Below are 18365 nucleotides of genomic sequence, written 5' to 3' on the forward strand. Positions count from 1 at the left end.
GTTTAATTCGTCTTAATTTAAAAAACAAGTACAAAGCACACAGCATTCTTAGGCTGGAGAAGAAATGAATGGAGATGTCTTGTGAACCAAACAAAAAGGATACCTCAACTCATACATGATAAGTAATCACCGTCATATGCGGGTAGCCCTTTGCACATTTCACATTTCTCAATATAGAAACTACTAACTTCTAAGTGTCAGCCCCCTTACTTACAAACTAACCTAAAATAGACACAGTCAGGGATAATCTTCAAAATATTTAACCATCATTTTGCCACAAATGTCTACCAACTGGAGCAGACACCAGTTGTAGCACTCTCTGGGAGGCCCCTCCCTGTGCCTGCTATTAACCATTTAATGGCTGGATGCTGAGAGGGTAGAAGGAGAATGGACCCTGGGTGTTAAGAGACTACTTTGATATTTTAAGAGCTAGTATGACGATAGTACGTGACAATGACAATGCACAGGTGAGTACCAGCTCTTGCACACGAGGACTTTTTGAGTAGCAGGTTCTGTTGTGTGTTCTCACTCTGGTGATTAAATCTGCAGCAGGTGATACTAACAAACAAGGGATAGTTTAAAATAAAATTAAAAGTGCTGAGGATGAATGGGCTGACTGAAGAAAAGGAACTGCAGCAACGGCAGCAGTGCCAAGGACAGTGCCCTGCATCCAGTCCTCCCCTGTTGTGGCAACAGCAGCAACGTCCTATCCAGACTATTCCAGGGCCTGATTCTGGCTCTGATCCCAGCCAGCTCAGCCTCCTGGAATTCCTGCCCCAGTTCTGAGTGCAGTTCTCCAACCTTCCATAAACTCCGTGAACTACCCAAGATCTTGCCAATAAATCCCTCTTCAGTTTGAGTTCACCAGAGGTGGTTTCTGGTTATCTGCCACCCAAGAACCTTGACCAGCAGAAGATGGGAGGGAGAAGTCCCCAAGGTTTCATCTGAAGAGGAGAATCTTCATTCCTCTCTCCTGACATGAGGCTGACCAGATCTGAATCCCAAGTGGCTCGGCAGTGGTTGTGTCTCTACAACCTTAAGTGCTCAGAGCCTGGGCAGTGAGGACGCATCCATGAAACTACACAAATTGAGCTTGACCGGAACACTGAAAGCTTTGAAAATCATAGTCTAGTCCCTGCTGTTTATTTAGAGATAATATGGGCCATTACAATCAGATGAGAACTTGAGAGTTTATTTTACATAAAAACCTCTAACACTTAATATTTATTTAAAAACTAAGCTGTAAAGAGCCTGATTTGGTTGAGTACATGATGGCACGTCTTTGGAATGCCTCTTACAAGTCCCCTCCAAATGAGCCAGGCACCTTTGGGTAAAAGCCAAAAGGACCAACAGTGTACCATCTAGTGGCAAAATGACACAACTGCAAGTGGGCAGTAAATTCCCCTAGTGAGTTGCAGGAACCTATGCAGTGTCACAGCTTGGGTGTGCCAGCGGGGAGTCAAACCGCCATTCCACGCTTTGAGCTGCTTGGACCTGCCGTACTTGGTCAAAGTACCATGGCATCAACACAGACATTCCACGAGAAGAACAAGATGTGAAGTGGCCAGAGTTGTTAAGAAAGCATCCAGATAATTAATCATTCCATATTGTCCCCCCTACCCCGCCAATTCCATGACCCTATAATTCTAAGATAAGTTTTGATGACACAAAGTGATTAATTACTAAAAAGCCAAAGTTATACTCATGCTTCCAGCTGAAAAACAATCAACTAAATATGGGTTGGTTACTGGGAAAGGAAAGAAGGTCCTTATATGGGTAGTTTAGGGATATATGACTAGGAAGAAATTGAGCATGTCTGTAAAAATGAATTCAAGGTCCTGCAAAGGTTCTTGGAAAACAAACAGCCTTTAAATCTCCTAGCCAGCATGCTCCAGCTTCTCCTATGCACTATGGTGTTTTGCCTCCATAGCTCCCCCATCCCCAACAATAGATTGTAAATATCTGGAAAGGAAAACTGCATCATCCTCAGCACTGGACATGCAGTAGGTGCTCAGTCACGGCCTTTGCTCTCGCCTCTGTTTAACCTTCGGAACCTAACTTCAGAGTCTTACCTTCAAGATAATCAAGAGCCTCCTTAACTCCACCATGGCTCCTTAAAAGGGAGCCAGCTCCCCACTTGAACAAAATGCTGGTTATGCCTTAGCTTTAAAATCTAATCTTGGGCCGGGCTCAATGACTCACACCTAGAATCCCAGCACCTTGGGAGGCCGGTGCTTGAGGTCAGGAGTTCAAGACCAGCCTGGACAACATGGTGAAACCCCATCTCTACTAAAAATACAAAAATTAGCCGGGCATGGTGGTGGACGCCTGTAGTTCCAGCTGCTCTGGAGGCAGAGGCAGGAGAATCACTTGAACTCGGGAGGCGGAGGTTGCAGTGAGCTGAGCTCGCACCACTGCACTCCAACCTGGGTGACAGAACAAGCCTCTGTCTCAAAAACAAAAACAAACAAACAAAAAAAAACAAAAAAACCCAGTCTGGTACTGGGTGCCATGGCTCGTACCTGCAATCCCAGCACTTGGGAGGCTGAGGCAGGCAGACTGCTTGAGTCTGGAGTTCAAGACCAGCCTAGGTAACATGGGGATGCCCTGTCTCCACCAAAAATACAAAAATTAGCTGGGTGTGGTGGTGCACGCCTGTAGTCCCAGCTACTCTGGAGGCTGAGGTGGGAGGGTCACTTGGACCCAGGAGGCCTCAGAGGTTGCAGTGAGCCAAGATTGCTCACTGCACTCTAGCCTGGGTAACAGAGTGAGACCCTGTATTTAAAAAAAAAAAAAAAATCTAATCTGGGACTTGATTTTATATACGTACAGCTACTTCCAACAGCTTGAAAAGAATAGAGACAGCGCACAGAGCCCCAGAATAAATGCCTGGCCTTATTTCTTTGTACTTTGCAGATCCACTAGCAGAGCCACGTTTCTCCAATTTTTCAACAGCTCCTTCTCTTCTCAATCTCTATTAATGTCACTTCTCTTCAAATGCACCCTCTACATTATTGCAAAGGGTGCAGAAGGCTCTTCAGAAAGCCAGAAAGGATAAACACTGAGTCGCTGATACTTCCGTTCAAGGGGAAGAAAGTGGGATAAACTTGACCCTGACATTAACTTCAGTCTAGAATCCCATGACACTCCTGGGAGCTCAGAACACAACAAGCACGAAGTTTCTGTAAAAAGACCAATGTTTCTGGAGAGGGAGCAATAGGAAAACACATCAGAAAGGCCATCCTCCACATCCTCTCATTTCCTCCTGGAGTCCCTCCAACTCAGTTTCCGTTCTAACCAATTATCTGAAATGGCCTTCAGAAAGACTTCCAGTGCACACGCATGGCCAAGTCCAACGGTTTCTGCACTGGTCCAGGCTTCACTGATCTTTCCACTGCATTTAAGACAGTTAACTCCTTCCTCCTCCCCACACTTTCTGGTCTTGATTTCTAAGTGTCACTGTAAACTGATTTACACTGGGCCATGAGGATCCTTCTAGAACAGGGCCTCTGCAGTTCTTCAGGAGTTTAGGGAGCCAGAGGGCCCTCAGCTGGTCTTTATTCTGTTCCAACTACATGCTCACTTCTTTAGAACCAGAAGCATCTATATAGGTTACCCAGCCCATTTTCCTGGTTTTCCAGCTGTGTTGGAAGGAGGTTCCATGAGCCCCCTCCAGCCACTGTGCTGGCACCCACCTATGCACTCCCCAACTTTCAATTCAACCTGGGTCAAATTTCAATGGGGAAAAAAACTCCGCAGGGCTCCTATACACTCAGAGGGGTTGGCTGGGCAGTATGGCAGGCAAGGGAAAGGCAGCAAGGCTTCCGGAAAGAATATTATATCTAAAACACAGGCCTGATGATACAGCTCAAAAACATTTCTTTAGTACCTACTTTGCACCCAGGAAAGTGCTTGGCCCAGGGGAGACCAACATGATCAGACAGGATTGCTGTCTTTGAGGCCAACACAGGGCTGTAGGGTGGCAGATGTGGTCCATTTAAATATAGTACAATGGGATAACCCTTCTGCTAGCAATCTGGCTTAAGTGTCATGGGAGCACAAAAGGAAAAGGAATAAATTCTGCATGACAGAGAGAATAAGGAATGAATAAATACCAAAATTTTCCAATGTTCAATGACATACCTTCTAAAATCACCTCAAATGTCACACTTTTGGAAACACTGATCTAAAAATTCAAGTCCTAATTTAATGTGCCATAAGACCCTGCAGGATCATGTCCCAGTTATTTTTCCAGTCTCATCTCCCTCACATCCTCCCATGAGCCCTAAACTCCACATGTACCACACTTGCTATTCCTACTGAATTCTGACAAGAGTTCCCATTTCTAAGCCTTTAACCTTGTTGCTTCCCACTAATGCCCTTTCCCTCATCTCCCCAAATTTAAGGCCAATCCCAATAGCCAGATGCATTGGCCCAACAAAAACTAAAGGTTTTTATTTTCATCTACTTTTTATTTTATTTTATTTTCTGTAGTTACACTGGCTAGAAATAGTTTTGGTTTTGATCCCTATTAAAAGTCATGAAGATGAAGAACTCTTTTATTTTGGAGACAGAGTCTTGCCCCCTCATCCAGGCTGGAGTGCAGTGGCACAATCTCGGTTCACTGCAACCTCCACCCCCTGGGTTCAAGTGATTCTCGTGCCTCAGTCTCCTAAGTAGCTGGGATTATAAGCACGTGCCACCTTGACTACTTTTTGTATTTTTAGTAAAGATGGGGTTTCACCATGTTGGCCAGGCTGGTCTTGAACTCCTGACCTCAAGTGATCCACCCGCCTCGGCCTCCCAAAGTGCTGGGATTTACAGGCGTGAGCCACCACACCCAGCCAAGAACTCATTTTAATAAGACCTATTTATGATCACAATATTCAGAAAGCCCATGCCCAAACTCCACTACCAATATCAAACTCTCGTTCCAGGTCCATGCCAGAGAAGGGGCAGATCTGGAGCTAGAACATTCACCACCAATAAATCTGCAATCATTTTTTTTTTTACCTTTTATACTTGAGTGGAGCTTTTAAATAAATATAAAATGTTGACTTCCAACCCAATAAGCAAATTCAGCCCCCCAAACAGTTTCAAGTCTTATAAATGCAGTATTATTTGTGCTTCAAACAACAGAATTTAGGGGATAATTTGTAATTATATATTACATTGTCTAACATATTAAAATGCATGGCTTGCAGCAAACAAGATAGACGGGTTAATATCCTTAATCTAATGTAATCATACTAATTGCCAAGAAAAATATTTTTAGATACGTGAAGAAATGATTCCCAGAAGACAAAATGCAAATAATAAACAAATCTATGAGAAAACGTTTACTTAACCCAACTAGTTAAAAAATATATTAAAATAATGACTAACCATTTTTTCTACTTCTTATATTAGTCCAAAAATTTTTTAAAACTAACAATGTGGGCAAATGCAAAGACATTGGCTTTTTCCTACACAGCCAATGACACTACATTTTTATCATTATCTTCAGCAATACACACCAAGAGCTATGCACCTCGTATCCCTGTGCTTTAGGAGAATCTAGTCTAAAGAAAGAAGCTTGAATGACAATAATGCTATACATACAGAGATGTTTACCATAGCTTTATTAGTAATAGTGAAAGCCTTGAAATCCTCTGGTGTTCAATAACACAGGGGCTAATTACCTGACCACATACCCACTGTGGGGACTGTTGAACAGTTATGAGAATAACTAACATAGACCATACAACATGGGAAAAGACTTCTCGTAAGATTAGGTGACTACAGCAGGGTATAAGTCTGTGTGACATTTGTGATTACAATTTTTTTTTTTTTTGAGATGGAGTCTCACTCTGTTGCCTAGGCGGAGTGCAGTGGCACGATCTCTGCTCACTGCAACCTCTGCCTCCTGGGTTCAAGCGATCCTCCTGCCTCAGCCTCCTGAGTAGCTAGGACTACACGCACACACCACCACGCCTGGCTAATTTTTGTATTTTTAGTAGAGACAGGGTTTCACCATGTTGGCCAGGCTAGTCTCAAACTCTTGACCTCAAGTGATCTGCCTGCCTCAGCCTCCCAAAGTGCTGGGATTACAAGCATGAGCCACTGTGCCCGGCTCTGTGGTTATAATTATATAATAGGCAAAACGCATGTATATAGTAAAAAGAAAATATATCCAAATTCTAATAGTGATTGTGGTAGCATAGAATTATGGGTAACTTCTTTTTTCTATTTTCTAAACTGTTTATAATGTGCTTATAATACATTTCTTTGCTAATGACAAATATCCTTTTTAGCTCCTACGTGACATTTGATATGCAATTGTGTAATATTTAGAACCTGAAAGAAAAAATTCTAGGAGACAAGCTAAAAATGCCACTGACAGTCATGTCCATTAGAACATGGCAGAGCCACCTGATGCCATCTTCCACGGAACTTGTGGGATTCTAACATTCACCATCAGTGACTGCTTTTGTTTAATGAAAGCCAAACTACTCCCATGAAGTTCCTCAGGAGGATGAAGGGGGCAATAAACGGACTCGACTGTTCAGCCAGATTTCCTAAAGAAGCAATCGCACCAAAACATTTCATCTTAAAATAGTCAGCAGGAGCTGCCAGGTGACAACACACAAACTACCCCCATTGCTCCCAGTGCCTGCTCACTGCCAAGTCCCTGCTTCTAACCCAGCTTCATGGCATTCCAGAGCCCTGAACTCCTTCTCAAATCCTTTATATGTAAAACTCTGGGCACACACAGTTTCTAAAATACGCAGTTAACCAAGACAAGTCTTAAATGCAAAAACTAGCCTATTCGTGTTTCCCAAATATGGTTGTGTCTACAGAACCAAAACAAAGCTGTCTAATTGTGGCATTCAGCACATTTGGAGCCTTCTCCTTAGACAATCCAGATAACTCAAAATAGGGCAGATTCCGAAATTCATGAGATAAAAGCAAGACATCTTAACTCTGTTTAAATCATAAATATATAACCTCAAAATAATAAACACAAGCCCAGGACACAGAGCCATTTTTCTTCTGAAGCAGTCGCTATACAATGTCTACCAGTGAGAGGCCATGAATGAAAGCATTTTGGATTCTCAGGAGAATCAAGGTAGGGCCATAGTCCACAATATAGGTAAACGAGATGAAGAAGTACTGTGTATGGCTGGGAAAAAAAATGTTAAAAAGCTGAAAAGCAGTCTGTTAGAGCTTGAAAATGGGAAAGCAGGGTGGGTTTGATATGGCAGGAGAGGTCTCTGCTCTTACAGACAGTCCACAGTTCCCTCTCAACTTTCCTTTTAAACCACAAAATCCCTGAGGCTATGTATTTACCACATCATATATTATACAGACATCTGCAGTACAGACCCATACCATGCTCAGGAATGAGGGAACAGAGGCTCCATTCAGTAAAAAGACTTTGGGTCTTTAGCAAACACATAACTTAAATACTTCAGTTCATAATACTGGCTTGTTCAGGAATTGCTTATTTTCCTTAAGAAGTTTTGAACTTGTAACTGAATATATACTAACCTACCAAAAAGGTAATATAAAACACTGCAAACACCATCTTTTCTGAGAAAACCTCTCTTCTCGGTGGCATTTGTTTAACAACTGAGGTGGAACACATATATACAGGCCCAAAATCAATAAGCCCTGAGCACAGGCTCTGAGGCCATGGACCAAATCAGATCATTAGCACCTCACTGTAATAAATGCAAGACCTTGGCTCCCATCACTCATCCAGTGAACATATCACATTAGCTACTTTTATCTATCCTTGTTTATTTTTACCCTAATTTTAGGCAATTTTTGAATATATCAGGTATAAAAGCACAACATCCAACCACTGAAATTACAATACAAATTTCTGTAATGAGTTTTCTTCAAACCAAGATAAAACCACTAAAACATTCAACATAATATCAAGCTCACAGCAAAAATTCAATGAAAGTATTTTTTTAAATCTATATTGTCTTCCAGACTACCTAGAAATAGGTTGGCATTATACATTTATATATTAATATATAAAAATTAGTCTCTCTGTGTTTATATTTACACAAACACACATATAAACACACACACACACAATTTGCCTATATTATAGGCTTACAAGGACTCTGGCTCAGTTGGCATCTGGCACACACTTCTGACTTGAGTTGTATATGTGCCTGGTGGCTGCAGGAAAGCAACAAAAAGCCGGGTAAGAAGAACTCAATTTGAATCCAAACTTTGGCAGGGCTGTGCAAATTGAGAAGTCCCTTAATTTGTCAGCCTCGGTTTACTCATCCATAAAAGGAAATTAAAAATACTACTTTAGTCCGGGCATGGTGGCTCACACCTATAATCCCAGCACTATGAGAGGCCAAGGCAGGCGGATTACTTGAGGTCAGGTGTTTGAGACCAGCCTGGACAACATGGTGAAACCCTGTCTCTACTAAAAATACAAAAATTAGCCGGGTGTTGTGGTGCATGCCTGTAGTCCCAGCTACTTGGGAGGCTGAGGCATGAGAATCTCTTGAATCTGGGAGGCAGAGGTTGCAGTGAACCAAGATTGTGCTACTGCAGTCCAGCCTAGGTGACAGAGTAAGACTCTGTCTCAAAAAAACAAAAACAAAAGCAAAAAACCTACTTACATTAATTGTTTTTTGTTTTGTTTTGTTTTGTTTTTGAGATGGAGTCTTGCTCTGTTGCCCAGGCTGGAGTATAATGGCACGATCTTGGCTCACTGCAACCTCCGCCTCCCACGTTCAAGCAATTCAGCTACCTCAGCCTCCCTAGTAGCTGGGATTACAGGTGCATGCCACCACGCCTGGCTAGTTTTTGTATTTTTAGTAGAGACAGGGTTTCACCATGTTGGCCAGGCTGGTCTCGAACTCCTGACCTCAGGTGATCCACCCGCCTCGGCCTCCCAAAGTGCTGGGATCACAGGCATGAGCCACCGTGCCCAGCCCATTAAGTTGTTCTTAAGATTAAATTTTAAAATACAGTTGACCCTTGAACAACACACATTTGAGCTGTGAGGGTCCACTTATATGTAGATTTTTTTCAACCAAACTTGGATCAAAAATATAGCATTTGTAGGATGTGGAAGCTGCGTATGTGGATGGCCAACTTTTCCTATATGTGAGTACTGCAGGGCCCGCTGCAGGACATAAGTCTGCTCAGATTTGGGTATACGTGGGGTCCTGGACCAATCTCTATAGCATACTGACAGATAACTGTATATATGAAACACTGTAAATTGTTGTGTTATAAAAGGAAAAGTATTCTAGCAAAGGTATTGGGTCTATTCTTTGTTATCCTTTGTTTATTAACAGACTAATGAATGTGATCATTGTATATCTGATTATGAGGTTGATATTACCAATACTTACCTGTACCAAACATCAGGTTTTATGAACTGAAGCAGGATTCAAGAACCAAACAGTCAGTTTCCAGGTCTGCCTTCCTATGCCAAGTCTGGCAATGAAGGACATTCTTGATAAAAAAGCATCATGTTTTAAAAGCCTTCACAGTTGCTCCCTCCTTAGGTTCAGGTGCCAAAGAACCAAACCATTATTATCAAAACACACTGATTGTGTATGCATTCTGTGCAAGGCCCTGTGCTCACACTACAGAAGCAGAGGAGAACCATCTCTTCATTTCCTAAATGCTCACTGTGAACCAGCCACTTGACACATCATGTCATTTTTAATCCTCAGAACACCTAGTAAGGTTTCTACACCTATTCTGCCAATGGAGAAACTGAGCTTCAGTAAAAGTTAGAAGGCTCATTGAAAAGTCTTGCAGAAGCAAGCGGGAAGGCTGGAATACAGGTCCTGGCTCCGGCTCCTCAACCCAGGCTCCTTCCACTTTGCCACATGAACCCAGCCAAGGAGACACAAAACAGTCCCTGCCTGCAGCAAGATGCTCTTGTGTACAAAGGTTGCTTGGAGAATATACAGACCTAAAACAAAGACAAACGGATCCTCTTTGGGTGCTTTTTCATCCAGCTGTGGCAATAAAATTATTGAAGTTATCAATCAAGATAAGAGATGGTGCTTGCCCTCAGAGACTTTATATTCTAATTGGAGAGATAAGGCTAACCCTTGAAACCCTGATGAGCCACTACAAACAGCATGGAAGAGTATCCATGGACTGCCCTCTACTGCAGGAATCTTCCAGCTAAGAGAATGCCAAGCTTCACAACTTACCTGGGAAACACCCAGGCACATGCTGACAAAAGCACCAAATAGCCCATAGTTCTCATGATATCAATTTCTTTATAGAAAATCTTCATTAGGGGAAGTTAAAAGGGAATAAGATCACCTACAGAATTTTCTAACAGACTTTAGGAAGCAACAACACCCACCAACATACCTAGACTTAGTATAACTTGGATTTGAGTTGCTGTTCTGACGCTTACTAGATGTGTCTTCTGTGGTTAGTCAGTTAACCTTGCTAAGCCTCAGTTTCCTCATCTATAAAATGGGAATAATAACAGCCATCAATCTCATAGCATTATGGTGAAGATTAAATAAGATTCAGTACATCCAGTGCCTATTACAACGTTGGAAAATGCTTAATAAATTTTAGCTGCTTTCAGCATGATCCTCATCATCAATAGCATCTGGGGCGGGGGTCAGAACCACTTTCTCCTCACGTGGTTTCTCTGAGTAGCAGCAGATGTTCTATTCCCACCATAGAGAGGTGAGTCTTTTCAAGCTAATTAAAAGAACAGTCTCGGTCAGTGCTCCTTTGAAGAGCTTACAGCACCTTTCTCTCCCTCATGAGGTGACATGTCCGGTCTTTCCCCAAGAGCACAATCTTCTCATAACTTTCCATAAGAAGTAAAGTAACTAGTCTCCTCTTTCTCCCCACAGTTAATACTCATGGATGTTACTGGCTAGGTATCACTTCATTTACATGTAAAACTTTTTTTTTAACTTTACCACTTCCTCCAGGATATACAGAACCCGTCTTCCACATTGCGTGTGGCAGCTCATGCCTGTAATCCCAGCACTTTGGGAGATCGAGGTGGGTGGATCGCTTGAGCCCAGGAGTTTGAGACCAGCCTAAGCAACACGTTGAAACCCCATCTCTACAAAAGTATAAAAATTAGCCAGGCATGGTGCCGTATGCGTGTAATCCCAGCTACTCAGGAGGCTGACGCAGGGGGACTGATTTTGAGCCTGGGTGGTCGAGGCTGCAGTGAGCCATGATTCTACCATTGCACTCCAGCATGGGTAGCAGAATGAGACCCTGTCTCAAAACAAACAAACAAAAACTTGTCTACCATGTCTTCTGCTTTTAACAAACTGTTTTCCTCACAAAGTGTCTAGAGTTTCCAAAGCAATTCTCACATAGGTAATGTTTAGAACATAGCACAGAACACACACAGAATAGACCCAAGTCCAATTCAGTTAATGCAAAGGGTTTGTATTGCAGAGTATATGGAAATAACATTATGTAGATGGTGTACACAGACCACAAAATGGCCTTGAATACCAGGCAATGACATTCTGTTGGGCCATGAAACCAAGGAGAGTTCTGCAGAAGAGAAGTTTTCAAATTCAAGATTGCAAAGGTTTGAAGGTCTCCTCCAGGGCTCATGTTGAAATCTAGTTGCCATTGTGATAATATTAAGAGGTAGACCTTTAAGAGGTGATTAGCTCATAAAGCCTCTGCCCTCATGAATAGATTACTGTCATTATCAAGAGAGTGGGTTAGTTACTGCCAGAGTGGGCTCCTCATAAAAGGATGAGTCCACCATGTTATGATGCAGCAAGAGGGCCCTCACCAGATGCGACCCCTCCATAATCTAGGACTTCCCAGCCTCCAGAACTGCGAGCCAAACAAACTTCTACTCTTCATAAATTACCCAGTCTGTGGTATTCTGTTATGCAGCAAGAAACAAGTTAAGACAGTGATTGATCCAGCTGAAGCAGGCAGAATGCACTGTAGAGGTGGGGCCCTGGGGCAGAGAGAGCATGCAGGCTGACTGCCTGTGAGCGGGTTGGGCCACAAGAGGGGCAGTGGTGCCCAGTGCTTTTTATAAGACCAAAAAAAAAAAAAGAAATACGCCTCAACCATATATACCCTCTCTGCCCAGGAGAGGAGCTCCCAGCAAACTTGTTCTGCTCATTTGGCTGTGAAAACTCCATAGAAGCCTTGCTGGCAGCAATCATAGGTGACAGTTTCTACATTTGTATTCTCTTGCTTATGGGTAGCAAAAACTACTGCTGAGAGAGAATCTGATTTTCTGAGTACACTCCCTAAATCACATTTTGCCACTTTTGTCCACAGTGAAGCTTTTTTTCTGCCCAATTGCCTTGGTGGATGACAAGATAAAATTATCAGAAAATAAAAGGTGTCGAAAAATCCTTTAGAACTCAAAGACGCTTATTATAACTAAATAAAGACACTACGATATCAACCACTACAATGGAATAAAAGGTGACAGAGTTAGGGATGTTTAGCATTTCCAAACTAACAAATGTTAAAGAGAATGGTTCTCAATACAAAATGGCCTTGTCGCCACAATTCACAACTTGTATCAATAGAACACACCATGTTGGAAGAAAAGAACTATGTATTCTATTCCAATCAGTGTAGGATGTTTACAGCAGGGGCCAGGGAGGGAGTGTGTTGAGATCTTAAGAGACGAATTAAATTATTCACACACAACCCTGTTAGCAAAGAATTCTAGGTGCTCAGGCAGTGACGCTACCACTGTACAGCTTCCCTACATGCAAAACGGGAATAAAAGCAGCACTAACCTCCCTGTTGTGAGGATTAATCGAGATAACCATTTACCCACATAGCACAGTGCTTGACACACAGGAAGAACTCAGTAAATGGTCACCTATTGACATAATTTGTTTATTTATCCTGTTCTAACTCCAAAAATGAAGTGTGAGAAGAGTCAGAAGTGGAATCCTGGTTAATAAAAGGCTCTAGTTAGTCACTGTTTTACTTTAACAACAATGTACTGGACCCTGCATGGAGACAAGGGCATTGCCAGGAATGAAGGCTTTTGCCTTGGGCAGAGAAAACTCAACACAAAGCTTGTAGTGACTCCATCCAGCACCCTGCATTTGTGCAGAACTTTACAGGCGACAGGACAGCAGTGCCCTTGGCTGTCTGCTAAACAGGCCAGTAATTGAGTTCAATCTCAAAAAAACAAGAACAAAAACAAGGCAATATCATCTTTAAGAATGTTTCATGAGGCCAAAGGACTCAGAGCATCATAGAATTTCAAGGCTAGAGACTTCACCACTATGTAATATATCCATGTAATACAACTGTACTTGTACCCCTAAGTCTATAAAAGAATAAAATATCCCTACCAAAAAAGAAAAAAAAGCATTTCAGGGCTGGAAAAAAACACAGTTTCCAAATGTCATGGGCTTTACAGTCCTGATCAATACACTGAGATGAGAAAATGCAATGTCCAGGTACACGTCCTCCCTAAAACAAATAACTCTCATCCTGCCAAGCCCTTCCAACAGGACAAGGGGCAAGCCATGTCAGCAGGAGATGTTACAATTACTATGTCTGTAGTCCTGCTCTGCTTTCTAGATGTTACACTCCCTGAAGACAGTCATCTATGTGTGCTTGTATGATGTTTGTTCATTCACGAGGGCACTCAAATATTTCTAAATTGCTTTTAAAATTTCATTGTGGCATTCCCTTCCTCTCTTAAAAAGGAAAAGCCAGCAGTTGAGAATTAAAATCTAAGGTTTCTTAACATTTATATAGGTCCAAGTGTCTCTAAAACTAAAGTCATATATACAAGTACTGAGTTGGCGCATAAATTGCTATCTAGCTATCTAGAGAAAAGGGCTTTGTTATGTTGCCCAGGTTAGCCTTGAACTCCTGGCCTCAAGTGATCCTCCTGCCACAGCCTCCCAAGTAGCTGAGACTACAGGCATGCACCACCTTGCTCAGGTCAGCTTTCTCCTAAAAAAAAAAAAAAAAAGAAAGAAAAAGAAAAAAAATCCTTAACTTAAAGCAAGTCCACAAACAAATGTCCTTTGGTGCTTCTGAGCTCATTCATTCAGTAAAAGTTCACTAAATGTGAACTAAATGTGGGGCATTGAATAGTGGATCTCACTGTTTAAATTTATATCTTGAATATCTAGAGAGCAAACCATCAAAAAGTCTGACAGAGGGCATGTTAAGAAGACTATAGAGATGGGGGAAAGGATAAAGGTCCCATACAAGAATCCCCACCTCACCTCCCCTGCACCTTTTTTTTTTTTTTCCAAGTATGCAACAAAAATCCTTCAGGAAAAACGTAACTTTAGAACTCTTGGGTTGGTTCCCAATATGCTTAAAGGGAGCTCTGGTATTTGTGGAGTTTGGTGAATATATTACACTTCTGGAGGAAATCCAGCTTAAGAAGCATGTAATTGTAGACTTTTTTCCTATCTGTTTAATAATAAAAGTACAAAAATAAATAAGCTTTTTCTTCTGTAAGAATGTGAAGCCTAAGTTTAAAAGATTTTTATACACTAGATTGTAAGGGAAAAAAACTAAAATATGTGTTTTAAGCACTTACTAAAAACAGAAATAAAAAACACTTGAACTCTCAGAATGGTAATGAAGCATTTCAAATTCCCCTCTGCTAATATCGCAGCTCTAACAACTAACCAGCAAGCTCAAATGCAGAGAATCAGGTGCAGGGAGGCCTTAGGTAGCATGAAATCCGGGATGGCTACACAAGTTTGCCAACAGACTTTGATAAATGGACCAGTGGATAGGGACAGAAAATCCCAGCGACTCCAAAAGTTACATCTACATGTCATTTAAAATACATTCCTTGTTCACTGCTGGTTACACTAAAGTCCAAAGAGAAGAAAAGGAGGAGCAGGCGGGCTCCGGAATGTGCCCTAGACACTGACCACATGGAAACTGGCTGGAAAAGCCCTTCCTTGGAGTCACCCAGCAGTCAGCATTTACTCTTTTAATAGGGACAAGCAGCAGAGTCCTTTCAACGGGGGAAACCCTTCCGTGGCCCCTCAGCTCTGCAACCTCATTAAGTTCAGAGTGAAGCCAGCTGCCAGGAAAGCAAAGGGTGACCCAGCCATGGCTCTAGCAATTCCTAGCAAAGAAAATAAATTGAGTGCGTGAGAGCTCATAGATCACAGTGCTAGAAGGGAGATTTCAGGCAACTGCCAGGAAGATAAGGAAATCATCCTTCGAGTGTGCCTCTTCCAATGTGAAGATGCCTTTGCAGCGTTGGGGTTGCCTCGGAACTGCAAAACCAAAATGCTGCCTAGTCAAGTACTTCTGATCCTGCCTGGAAACAAAGTGTGGTTTCTCTGTAGGATGTGTCAGGTCCACATTCAGTCTCCTTGACCCCATTGCTGCCAAGGAGGGACAGGAGATGGAGGAGAATGAGACACAGGGGTGAGGAGTCCCCAAAGACAAGCAAAACAGAGGGGATGAAAAGGAGACCAATGTGTCCCAGCCCAAACATTGTTTCAGCAGGGGAAAAAGAAACACCAATTCGTTACAAGAATCATTAAAATTATAAAGATAAAAATATACATATAAATTTATTCACTAAACAGAGGGTTAAAGTTTTATTTAAATCTTATTTCTTCTATCACTGAAGTCTACACAAGTGACATTAAGAAATTATATTTAAGCACAGATACATTATGTGAGATCACTTTTAAACTCAAAGAAGTTTTAAGATATTCAAAGTGATTGCTTCTCTCTAATCCCAATTGTCAGTCCCTTAAAAATATCTTTAGGCCAGTCGTGGTGGCTCATACCTATAATCCCAGCACTTTGGGAGGACGAAGCGGGTGAACCACTTGAGCTCAGGAGTTTGCGACCAGCCTGGGCAACATGGTGAAACCCCAACTCTACAAAAAATACAATAATTAGTCGGGCGTGGTGGTGTGTGCCTGTAGTCCTACCTACTCAGGAGGCTAAAGTGGGAGGATCGCTTGAGCCCAGGACGTCGAGGCTGCAGTGAGCTGTGATTCCACCACTGCACTCCAGCCTGGGAGACAGAGCAAGACCCTGTCTCAAAAAAAAAAAAAAAAAAAATTAATAACTTTATACAGAGTACAGCCAGAAACAAACTGACCCCTTTTTGGCTTTGATTTCTTTACTTTAAAGGCCAAAAATGCTGCTTCATGTAAGTATGTGGTTGGAAGACCCTAATAAAACCATCATCATCTCTTTTGCAGATAACTGAATGAATATTATCTTTACTTTTACCCCCAATGATAATTATTGAACTAAATATTAGTTATAATCCTTGATATAACATTGGGTCTCTGTCTTCGTCCCTTTTTCTCCAAATTTACTGTTTTATGAATTCACAAATGATTTAATAATCAGAGATTTTCTCAAATGCAAGTTTTCTTATTGATATTGAGAAAGTATTTTAAATGACTACTTGCAATGCTGTTCTAAGTCAACTCTGATGAGTTGGAGAATTCGGAAAAACAGCAAGAGCATTTTAAAATTATTCTCACATGTGCCCTTCAACTAAATTTCTAACTTGTACTTTGAAAATTAATTTTATTGCACAAATTGAAGACACTACCCACAGTGCCTTGAAGTCTCAAATCTCACTCATAAGTAAAAATATGGACCCAAAATCAGTCAGCTTTGCTCTCAAACTTTCATTATACATTTGTATTCTCTGGATTTAAAAATAAGTATCTTAAATTGAGATAACAAATAATCTTTGCAAACGTTCCCACTGTATGTACTAGAGGGCCTCAACAAAACTGCTTTACATGGATCACCTGGGGAGGCACTTATTTAAAATGCGGATTACAAGTTCTGCAGCCAGATATGCTGATTCTGAAGTTCCAAGGGGGCCCTGGAATTTGCATTTCTGGCAGATGTCATTTAGGGCTATACTTTGAGAAATGTTGGTCAATACAACCAAGTGACGGCAACACCAAGTATTAAACGCTGATGCTCAACCCCAAACTGTCACACAAAGCTGGAAATGTTCACTAATTTGTACCATCACTTTAAATGTAATTTATAATTTGTACTGATCGCGTCAGAATTGCATTAAGCAGGGAGACAGTTTTTCCTTTTTTTCCTGCAAAAATGTTCACAGTGAATAAAACAATGTGCAAATGTGATTCCACTTGCTGGGCCTGCCAGTCATGACTGCTGCCCCATCTGCACACAGTCTGGCACAGGGTTTCCGAGTGAGAAGTTTACTAGGACTATGCTCATCCATTAACTTAAATATTTCTAAGCCTGGATGTTTAGGAAAGCAAAGAATTGAAATGCACCCTACCTTTAAGACTATTTCATATCATAATCCATAAAATGACTATAACTTAAAAAATGGATATATTTGACACATCTGTGATGCCATCTAAAGAGCAAGTGTTTACTTTTTAATTAGACAGGCTTTGATCTCTAATAGTCCATTAATACTTTATCCTATCACATTATTTTCAAAGGAAAATTTCCATTTTGCATCAAACTCTTAAATTCCAACTTCTCGATGTGTTTTCACTAAGTATAGTCTTTATGATTATTCAGCAACAGAAAAAGTTTCTTAAAGAAAACAATTGGAAAAGCAATTAAAACTAAAAAATTCAAAGGCAGCCATTCAAGTATCAAACTTTTTGTAAGAAGACTCTTTTTCAACTCATTTCAAGAGTGAAGCTTTTTTTGAATAGGTTTTATTTTTGAAAGCGTTTTTTAAACTACAAAAGAAATATAAGCACACAACTAAACATCTGAAAATGAAATAAAAAGATCTATAATGTCACCACCCTAACACAATCTCATTATTTGCTGAATTTCCCTGTAATCTTTCTTTATATTATCTGGTTACGTTCACAGTATATGTATAGTATTGTCTCATAAGTATTTTTCTTCTTGCTATAAAAGCTTTGAAATATGGTTCTAATTCTGCATGTTTTCTATATAAAGAGTTTTCCAGACTTCAGAAATCTGTTGAACTACATTTCCACAACGACCACTCATATCCTGCTGAACTTGCCTCTGATCCAGGTAATTGCAAAACATTCAGTATTATACCACTGTGCAACATGCAAACTTTTTTTCTTTGGTCAGGGAGGGGGCATATACACAAGTTCTCCTTCCCACTTCTTTTGAAGGGCAGCTAAATTTGATGTATTTATTGCTAGGGAAAAAAAACCCTATTGTTATCATCAAGAGCCTCCCCTCATGCTTAGCACATTACATACAATATCTCATTTAATCCTAGTAGCCTTATCATGTAGGCACTGTTACCAATTTAGAAAGGAGGCAATGATCCAGTGTCTTCTCTAGGGTCACCCTACCATTAAGTGGTGGAATTGTGATGTATAACCCAATCTATCCCACCCTAAATCCCAGGGCTCTTAAGAACTATCATGCCT

The 18365-nt window shown here is 41.2% G+C and overlaps 1 protein-coding gene across 76 annotated transcripts in view; it reads right to left on the bottom strand.

Moving 5' to 3' along the window:
* Positions 1–18365, bottom strand: part of SORBS1 (sorbin and SH3 domain containing 1) — a 249599-nt gene that overhangs the window by 132915 nt on the left and 98319 nt on the right. The window contains exon 3 of one of the 76 annotated variants that reach the window (NM_001419703.1): positions 15912–16017. The exons of the other annotated variants lie outside the window; for them this stretch is intronic. The gene's annotated coding sequence lies outside the window, so the exon portion shown is untranslated. The remainder of the gene's footprint in view (positions 1–15911; positions 16018–18365) is intronic. 76 annotated transcript variants of the gene reach the window in all.

Source organism: Homo sapiens, chromosome 10 (genome assembly GCF_000001405.40).
Source record: "Homo sapiens chromosome 10, GRCh38.p14 Primary Assembly".
NCBI classification, from domain to species: domain Eukaryota; kingdom Metazoa; phylum Chordata; class Mammalia; order Primates; family Hominidae; genus Homo; species Homo sapiens.